Source organism: Homo sapiens, chromosome 13 (genome assembly GCF_000001405.40).
Source record: "Homo sapiens chromosome 13, GRCh38.p14 Primary Assembly".
NCBI lineage: Eukaryota > Metazoa > Chordata > Mammalia > Primates > Hominidae > Homo > Homo sapiens.
Genome location: NC_000013.11, coordinates 29646767 through 29657628, shown reverse-complemented (window position 1 = coordinate 29657628; position 10862 = coordinate 29646767). Strand labels below are relative to the sequence as shown.

The 10862-nt window shown below is 39.0% G+C and overlaps 1 long non-coding RNA gene across 1 annotated transcript; it reads right to left on the bottom strand.

Annotated features, from left to right (window-relative positions):
- Positions 1-2150: 2150 nt before the first annotated feature.
- On the bottom strand, positions 2151-9936 carry LOC102723345 (uncharacterized). The gene is made up of 2 exons (NR_135320.1): positions 9905-9936; positions 2151-2559 (listed from the first exon to the last, which is right to left on the bottom strand). It is a non-coding gene; the product is annotated as an uncharacterized LOC102723345 (long non-coding RNA).
- Between the last annotated feature and the right edge of the window lie 926 nt (positions 9937-10862).

Sequence of the window (10862 nt, the reverse complement as noted above, 5' to 3'; positions counted from 1 at the left end):
TCATGACATATGAGTTAATCAGTGTAATAAATACTGTCAGACTGCTTTCCGAAAACACTTGTACAGTTCAAACATCTACCAGCAATACATGAGAATGCTTCCAGAACTGAGCCTTTGCCAATATTACTTTTCATTGTCACAATTCTGTTGAATAAAATTGTGTTGCTTAATTTGCTATGCTCGGCTCACATACAAGATCAAGTTCATCAAGGAAGGACAGTAAAATCTCAGAATTCACCACTATATAATTCATCCATGTAACCCAAAATCACTTGTATCCCAAAAGCTATTGAAATAAAATTTTTTAAGCTGGAATGGACATTAGAAACTACTGAGGCAGCCAGGCGTGGTGGCTCACACCTGTAATCCTAGCATTTTGGGAGGCCGAGGCAGGTGGATCACCTGGTATCAGAAGTTCAAGACTAGCCTGGCCAACATGGTGAAACCCCGTCTCTACTAAAAAAAATACAAAAATTAGCTGGTCATGGTGGCAGGTGCCTGTAATCCCAGCTACGTGGGAGTCTGAGGCAGGAGAATCCCTTGAACCCAGGAGGCAGGGGTTGAAGTGAGCCAAGATCACACCATTGCACTCCAGCCTGGGTGACAAGAGCAAGACTCCATCTAAAAGAGAAAGGAAAGAAAGAAAGAAAGAAAGAAAGAAAGAAAGAAAGAAAGAAAGAAAGAAAGAAAGAAAGATAGATTACTGAAGCCTAGAGAGTCAGAGGACATGTCAAAATCTCAAAGTAAATTGTTACCATCTATTGGTAGAACAGTTTTCAGATTCACGCCTTTCATAGAAGCAAATTTCTACCTGAAAATCTACCTTTTAAAAGGAAAGATAGGCAAGGTGTGGTGGTTCATGCCTGTAATCCCAGCATTTTGGGAGGCCAAGGCATGCAGATCGCTTGAATCCAGGAATTTGAGACCAGCCTGGGCAACATGATAAAACCCCATCTTTACCAAAAATTACAAAAAATTATCCCAGTGTGGTTGCCTGTGTCGGCTACTTGGGAGGCTGAGGTAGGCTCAAGTCCCATCTTGGGCCTGGGAGGCAGAGGTTGCAGTCAGCCAAGACTGTGTCACTGTGCTGGGTTACAGAGTGAGATCCCGTATCAAAAAAAAAAGGAAGGATAATCCACTATGACTCTAAAATTTTAGGCAATATGATGTCTTCATTATCAAGGTGATATGATATGGATTTGTGTCACTGACCAAATCTCATGTCGAATTGGAGGAGGGGCCTGGTGGGAGGTGATTGGATCATGGGGGCAGATTTCTCCCTTGCTATTATTGTGATAGTGATTGAGCTCTCATGAGATCTGATGGTTTAAAAGTGTGTATCACTTCCCCCTTCACTCTCTCTCTCTCCTGCCACCATGTGAAGAAGGCGCTTGCTTCCTCTTTCACTTTTCGCCATGATTGTAAGTTTCCTGAGGCCTCCCAGTCATGCTTCTTATTAAGTCCACAGAACTGTGAGTCAATTAAACCTCCTTTCTTCATAAATTACCCAGCCTCAGGTAGTTCTTTACAGCAGTGTGAAAACAGATAATACACAAGATTACTAATTTTATGTATTAGGTTCCTGCAAGATACACCTCAAATATTTAGTGCTTTGATATGCACTGATATCCAGATTTGCTTAATAGAGACTCACTGAGTTCTTCTCATTGAAATTTTATTTTTAAATTTTTCTTATTTATTTTTGAGACAGTGGTTTCATTTTGTCACCTAGAGTGGTCTTGAACTCCTAGACTCAAGTGATCCTCTCACCTTGGTCTCCCAATTAGCTAGGACTACAGACGCCTGCCACCTCGACTGGCTCTCCCTAGTTTAGAACCTCAAATGTCCACTTTTTTAGAGAATCAAGTTATGCCTGTTTGTGGTTGAACAGATACATATAAGAACAAAATAGTCCCCAAAGTGCAAGGCTTTCGCTACTAGTTAGTTACCTAAGAAGCTGCTGTAACACACATATCTTCCAAAACATATGTCTAGCTGAGTGGGTCTCATAACCCCATGGTGCATGCCTTCAAAAGTTCTTCACCTCTGCCCAGAGGCAGTAGGAGAGGAAGACTTCATCTCTGCTCCCTTCTTCTTCCTATGGATCGGAATATGCCAGCCAATGACACCAGAAAAATAACCAGAGAAGATTTTTGAAGAGCAAAAAATAAGATCATTTTATTCTTACTCAAAGGGAATAAGAAGCAAAACCCCACAATGAACACCATATGTGTCTCCTTCAGTAGGAGCCCAGCTGTTCTTATGCCCCTTGGATAGTGTTTTACTTCCCAAATGCAAATTCATTCCAGTTTATTCCAGTTTAATTGGTTAAACTCGGCATGCAGTCTTAGGATTTCCTTATGCATCATGTCCAGGAAGACTATATAGATTTTGTGTGGAATTTAAGGATTTCTTACACAAAGAGCATGCTTCCTCTGCAGTTCTTTCAGGTCAATCTTCTCCAAATTGCAATTGTATGATTATCACTCTTAAATTAGTCACAGTTTCTCTTCTCTGTTATTCACTCCATTCTATGGCAATGGCTAATCCCAAGCCCTACTGCAGAAAAAGAAAATGATACAGAGATTACATTGCTTTGAAGGGTCAGTCATTATGAGTCACAGTAGCTGAGGTACAAGTGGCATGTGGCCATAATTGAAAGCAGCGGTCCCAAATCTTTTTGGCACCAGGAGCCTGTTTCATGGAAGACAATTTTTCCATGGACAGGGTAGGGAGGATGGTTTCAGGGTGACTCAAGTGCATTACATTTATTGTGCACTGTATTTCTATTATTATTACATTGTATTATATAATGAAATAATTATACAACTCACCATAATATAGAATCAGTAGGAGCCCTGAGCTGGTTTTCCTGAAACTAAATAGTCCCTTCTGGGGGTGACAGGAGACAGTGACAGATCATCAGGCATTAGATTCTCATAAAGAGCATGAAACCTAGATCGCTCTCATGCATAGCTCACAATAGGGTTTGCGCTCCTGTGAGAATCTAATGATGCTGCTGATGTAACAGGAGGTGGAGCTCAAGTGGTAATGTGAGCAATGGGGAGTGGCTATAAATACAGGTGAAACTTCACTCACTCGCCCACCACTCACTTCTTGCTGTGCGGCCTGGTTACTAATAGGCCATGGACGGGTCCGTGGCCTGGAGACTGGGGACCCCTGATTTAAAGAACATATTGCTAACTGAAAAAAAATTTTGGTTTTTACAGAAATAGCATCACCAATAGAGATTAGGAGTACACATCTAAAAATGAGAATTTCTTCAATTTCTTATAGTATTTAATCAATACCCTCTGCCCTTAGTAGCTGCTAACCAACTCTTGTCTGCTTTCTCACAGATAGCCAGTGTCAAAATCGTCATTTCTTCTCACTCTCTGTTCCTTACATCTCTCCTCCACTGTGCAGTTGAGTGCATTCTCCCCCACCCCCTTGTAGGATGTGGCAGCATTGATTCCCTGCATTCTCCACCGCCTTGCAGCCATTCCTCTTCTGTCTGCTCACACTACCCCAGCCTTAAAAACACCTCCTTTTCTCCCCTCTGAGTTTGAAAGCTACTGCCTTTCTCTCTCGTTCCCTTTATTGGCAAGTGCCTATTCATTTACTCATTTTATAAATTGCTAAAGCTCCAAGCTTGTAGCAACATCAAACAGAACTGTAGTAGGTAAGTTAAGATCCCTCAGTCTCCTTTCCCACCACTTCCAGGTGGCAGCCACTGTTCACAGTTCAGTGTGTATTTTTCTTAGATGTTTATAATATGTAACAGATATGTACCTGTTTGTGTTGTAGACTTATTTTACACAAATGAGACCACATTACACAATACTGCAGCCTGCTTTTTTTGTTGTCTTAAATGACTTGGAAAGTGTAAACAGTACAGAAGTATATGTTATAAAACATAAAAGCCCTCTTGTGGTATATTTACCCACAAAGCCAAGCTGTCCTGTCACAAAAAAAAAAAAAAGTAAAAGAAAAAAGGTCATTACCCAAGTAATTGCAAAGCAATTTGAATATTCAATTATTACAGTCTCCTCTTTTTTCTCTCCATCACTCTTTACACACACACATCACACACACACACTCTCTCTCTCTCCCCCTCTCTCTCTACTACGGACATTCAGGTCCATAGATTTTTACTCTCACAAGCAGTACTGCAATAAGCAGCATATACACTTTTGTGCGTGTACTTTTGTGTATGTGAAAATATTCTGCAGCCTGCATTTCTAGAAGTGAAAATGCTGCATTAGAATGGCGTGCATTTGAAATTGTGTTAGATCCTGACGGATTGCCTTCCAAACAGCTCTACCAATTTGTACTCTCGTTAGCAGTGAATGAGAGTGACTATGTCTTCACATCCACATTAATATTGTGTAGTATCAGGCAAGGCACGGTGGCTCACATCTGTAATTCCAGCACTTTGGGAGGCTGAGACAGGCGTGCGCCCCCAAGCCTGGCTGATTTTTGTATTTTTAGTAGAGACAGGTTTCACCACGTTGGACAGGCTGGTCTCGAACTCCTGACCTCAAGTGATCTGCCTGCCTTGGGGTCCCAAAGTGCTGGGATTACAAGCATGAGCCACCATGCCAGGCCTTTTTTTTTTCTTTTAAACTTCCTTAGTGCTGAAAGAAAAACACTGTTAACTAATGATTTTATATGCAGCAAATTTGTCCTTCAAAAATGAAGGAGTTAAACAAAAAATGAGAAAATTCATCACTAGCAGATCTGACCTACAGGAAATACTAAAAGGAGTTCTTCAGGATGAAATGATGGGACAGTAACTAACGTCTAAGTTAACAAATGAAGGACACCAGAGAAGGACACTATGTGGATAATACTAAGACAGCATAAACATGTTTTGGTTTGAGCTTTTTATCTCCTGATTTAAAGATAAATGTACAATGCAATAATTATAAAGCTATCTTGTTAGGCCTATAATTTACAAAGATGTAATTTGTATGACAACCAAAGTACAAAAGGAAGGAGGAAATGTAGTATAATGGAGGAAAATTTTTCTAGACTAGTGAAATGAGGTTGATATTAACCCAAATTAGATTGTCTTAAATTAAGATTTTATTATAATCTTCAGGGCAACTACTAAGAAAATAAAAACACATGGGGAAAATAATAAATAAAGTGGCATACTAGAAAATATCTATTTAACACAAAAGAAGTTAGCGATGGAGAAACAGAAAAACAAAAATGATGTAAGACTCAAAGAAAATAAATTTTAAAATGGCAGTCAAAAACTCTTTTACTAGTAATTACGTTAAATATAAATGGACCAAACAGTCCAATCAAAACATAAAAATTAGAAGAATAGATTTTTTAAGAAACCAAATATGATCCAAGTATATGCTATTGAAAAGAAGCAAAATTCAGATTTAAAGACACAATAGGTTGAAAGAAAAAGGATGGAAGAAAATATGCTGGGTTAATGATAATCAAAAGAGAGTTGGAGTGGGTATACCAATATGAGACAAAACAGACCTTTAAAACAAAATTTGGCACTAGAGGCAACACAGGACATTTTATAATGTTAAAAGGGTCAATCCAGCTGGGTGTGGTGGTTCATGTCTGTAATCCCAACACCAGCACTTTGGGAGGCCAAGGCAGGAGGATTCCTTGAGCCCAGGAGTCTGAGATCAGCCAAGATAACATAGCAAGACCCCATTTCTAGAAAAAAAATTTAAAAATTAGCTGGGCATGGTGTTGTTTGCCTGTAGTCCTATACTCAGAAGAATGAGGTTGGAGGATCACTTAAACCCAAGAGGTCAAGGCTGCAGTGAGCCATGGTTGTGCCACTACAGTCAAGCCTGGACAACAGAGCAAGAACCAAGACTTTGTCCCTTTAAAAAAGGAGAGATCAATCCATCAAGAAGATATACCAATTAAAACATATGTGTACCTGCTAAGGTTTGAATGGTGGTGTCCCCTTCAAAATTCATGTTGAAACTTAACCTCCAATTCAACAGTATTAACAGCTGTAACCTTTGGGAGGTGATTAAGTCACCTCAACCGTCACAAGTGGGATTAGCACCATTATAAAAGGGATCCAAGATAATGAGAGCAATGTTGAGGACACAGCATTCATTCCCTCCAGAGGATGCAGCAATATGGCGCTATCATGGAAGCAGAAAGCAGCCCTCACCAGACATGCAGCCTTTCAGCACCTTGATCTTAGATTTCCCAGCTTCCAGGACTGTAAGAAATAAATTTCTATTATTTATAGATTATCCAGTGTGTGGTACTTTGTTACAGCAGCACAAAGATAGCACCTAACAACAAAGCCCAAAAATGCGTGAAGTAAAAACTGATTGATGGAATTGAATAGAGAAACAGGCAATTCAACAATCACAGTTGGAGATAAAAATAACCCACTTTTCAATAACAGATAAAGCAACTAGACTGAACATCAACAAGGAAACAGAAGACTTGAACAATATTACTGTGAAGTAAAAGCACAAACTGCATTTCTTCTGTTCTCATAATACAATGTATGAAGTTTTTTCCCCCACACAGCAAGAAAGCAATCAGTTCTGCAGCAGACACCAGCTGGGTGTCCTTCAGTTCAATACTGACACTATCTACCTGGAGATAGCATCAGATCCCACAATTTGAGGCCTCAGTTTTACAAGACAGCCCCCCACTTCTGATGCCAATCATAAACCCCAGGTTGTTTTTGATCTGTGCTTCTGACCAACTAGCTATAAATCAGGGTTATCACAATTTCCTCCTTGGGTTTCATTAGTTTGCTAAAGTGGTTTACAGAACTCAGGGAAACACTTTCATTTACCAATTGGTTATAAAGGATATTATAAAGGATAAAGATGAAGAGATGCATAGGGTGAGGTATAGAAAAGGGTGTGGAGTTTCCATGCCCTCCCCCGGTATGCCACTCTCCAGGAACCTCCATATGTTCAGCTGTCTGGAAGCTCCTCGTACTCTGTCCTCCTGCCTCTTTTATGGAGACTTCATTAGAAAGGCACAATTGAAGCACAGACAACCAGGTAGAAATGTGATTGAACAAAAAGTTATGATCTAATACTAACAGACTAAGTGGGCAAACCCAGGCAGGTCTATGTGTTCAGATTCTTCTTGGCCTCTCTGTGCATCATAGGGCAGAACCCTTTCTGAAATAAGGGTCTTATGACCCACAATCAACCAAGGTAGAGCAGATAACTTCTTCATGGTCAGCTACAAGATGGAAAGGTGGGGAAAGATTACTCCCTTGGAGAGAATAAAGGACAGGCGAAAGGAAGGCAGAAGGTCAGAGAGAGATTCTGCTTTCCAAGGTCTTCCTCTGAGGCATAAAGCACCCCAACATTATAACAAAAGACTCTTTCACCTTTATTACTCTGAGGCACTCCAAAGCTGCTTAAGGAACCAAGGACAAGAGGCCAAATACCTTAATTTGCTTTAGTCTCTTAGGAAGTAACAAGGGCTATGGCAATTATATATATAAATATATTTATAAAACTATTTTATATTATATAATATATAACTATAATATATATTACATAATATAGTTATATAAATTATATAATATATAATATATAATATGTATAATAATTATATATAATATATACTATATTATATATAATATATACTATATTATATATAATATATACTATATTATATATATTATATAATATATTATATATATCTATATAAAATATATTATATAATATATATAATAGATATAATATGTTATATATACTATATAAAATATATATTATATTATATATATATTATATTTTATATAATATATATAATATATTATATAAAAATATATATATTATATACATATTTTTAAATTATATATATATAATTTTTTTTTTGAGATGGAGTCTCACTTTTCTTGCCCAGGCTGGAGTGCAATGATGTCATCTCGGCTCACTGTAACCTCTGCCTCCTGGGCTCAAGCGATTCTCCTGCCTCGGCCTCCTGAGTAGCTGGGATTACAGGTACATGCCATCATGCCCTGCTAATTTTTGTATTTTTAGCAGAGATAGGTTTCACCATGTTGGCTAGGCTGGTCTTGAACTCCTTACCTCAAGTGATTTGCCCACCTTAGCCTCCCAAAGTGCTGGGATTACAGGCATGAGCCACCACACCTGGCCAAATATTTTATATATTATATATATAATGTGTGTGTCTGTGTATAAAATAAGTGAGCTAGACATAATAAACATCAATGGAATACTCCACACAACCACAACAGAATATATATTTTCTCAAGTGGCAGTAGAACAGTCTCCTGGATAAACTATGTCAAGCCATAAAACAAGACTCAATAAATTTAACATAATTTAATTCAAACAATGCTCTCTGACTACAGTGGTGCCAAACTATAAGTCAGTAACAAAAGGAAATTTGGGAAATTTACAAATATGTCAAAATTAAACAACATACTCCAAAATAACCAATGGGTTTTAGAATAAATCACAATAAAAATTAGAAAATACCTTAAGATAAATGAAAATGAAACACAACATACCAAAATGTATGGGATGCAACAAAAGCAGTGCTCAGAGAGAAATTTATAGCTGTAAAAACCTACATTAAAAAGTAGATCTCAAATCAATATCCCAACCTTCTACCTTAAGAAACTAGAAAAAGAAGAGAAAGTGAAACCCAAATTAACAAAACCAAAAGTTAGTTCTTTGACAAGATCAACAAAATTTACTAACTTGTATCTAGAATGAGGAAGAAGAAAGAAGATTCAAATTCCTAAAATCAGACATGAAAGCGGGGTCATTACCACTAACACCACGGAAATAAAAAGGATAAAAAGAGGTTACTGTAAGCAATTGTGTGTCAACAAATTTGATAGCCTACTAATGGACAAATTCCTAGAAATGCACTACCAAAACTGACTCAAGAAGAAATAGAGAATCTGAATAGACCTATAATAAGTAAAGAGATTAAATCAGTAACCAAAAACCTCCAAAAAAGAAAAGCCCAGAACTGAAGACTCTGTGAGTAAATTCTACGAAACATTTACAGAAAAATTAACATCCATCCTTCATGACCTCTTCCAAAATGTAAGAGGAGGAAACACTTCCCAACTTAATTCTATGAAGCCAGCATTACCTTGATAGCAAACCAGGCAATGACATCACAGGAAAATAAACCTATATCCAATATATTTTATTAATATAAATGCAAAAATCCTCAACAAAATAGTAACAAACTAAATCTGCAAGAAATAAAAATAATTATACACACTGACCAAGTAGGACTTATTTCTAAAGTGAAATACTTGTGAAAATTCATAAAGAACAAAAATTATGTGATCATCTCATAGACTAAGAAAAAGCATTTGAAAAACTTCCAACAGCCTTTCATCATAAAACAACCAACCAGGAATAGAAGGGAACTTCGTCCTCAACCTAATAAAGGAGCAAAATCTACAGTCAACATCATACGTAATGTCGAAGGACTAAAAGCCTTTCCCCTAAGATCAGGAATAAGACATAGACGTCTGCTTTCACCCCTTCTATTCAAAATGGTATTGTAGGTTCTACCCAAAGTAGTCAAGAAAAAGAAATAAAAGATATCCAGTGGAAAAAGACAAAGTAATATCTTTATTTGCAGACGATATGATCTTATACATAGAAAGTGCTAAGACACACACACACACACACACACTATTAGAACTAATAAATTAGTTCAAAGATACAAGATGTTATTACATGATTTTTCATGGATAGTGTATATAAATGCAATGAAACTAGAGATAATCTAATAGACATATATATATCTAGATATATTTTATATATATATTAAACATTGTGTGCCATGAAAATGAAACACAGCATACCAAAACTTACGGAATGCAACAAAAGTGGTGGTCAGAAAGAAATTTGTAGCTGTAAAAACCTACATTAAAAAGTAGTTCTCGAGCTCCGGTCTACAGCTCCCAGCGTGAGCGACGCAGAAGACGGTGATTTCTGCATTTCCATCTGAGGTACCGGGTTCATCTCACTAGGGAGTGCCAGACAGTGGGCGCAGGCCAGTGTGTGTGCGCACCGTGCGCGAGCCGAAGCAGGGCGAGGCATTGCCTCACCTGGGAAGCGCAAGGGGTCAGGGAGTTCCCTTTCCGAGTCAAAGAAAGGGGTGACGGACGCACCTGGAAAATCGGGTCACTCCCACCCGAATATTGCGCTTTTCAGACCGGCTTAAGAAACGGCGCACCACGAGACTATATCCCACACCTGGCTCGGAGGGTCCTACGCCCACGGAATCTCGCTGATTGCTAGCACAGCAGTCTGAGATCAAACTGCAAGGCGGCAACGAGGCTGGGGGAGGGGCGCCCGCCATTGCCCAGGCTTGCTTAGGTAAACAAAGCAGCCGGGAAGCTCGAACTGGGTGGAGCCCACCACAGCTCAAGGAGGCCTGCCTGCCTCTGTAGGCTCCACCTCTGGGGGCAGGGCACAGACAAACAAAAAGACAGCAGTAACCTCTGCAGACTTAAGTGTCCCTGTCTGACAGCTTTGAAGAGAGCAGTGGTTCTCCCAGGACGCAGCTGGAGATCTGAGAACGGGCAGACTGCCTCCTCAAGTGGGTCCCTGACTCCTGACCCCCGAGCAGCCTAACTGGGAGGCACCCCCCAGCAGGGGCACACTGACACCTCACACGGCAGGGTATTCCAACAGACCTGCAGCTGAGGGTCCTGTCTGTTAGAAGGAAAACTAACAACCAGAAAGGACATCTACACCGAAAACCCATCTGTACATCACCATCATCAAAGACCAAAAGTAGATAAAACCACAAAGATGGGGAAAAAACAGAACAGAAAAACTGGAAACTCTAAAACGCAGAGCGCCTCTCCTCCTCCAAAG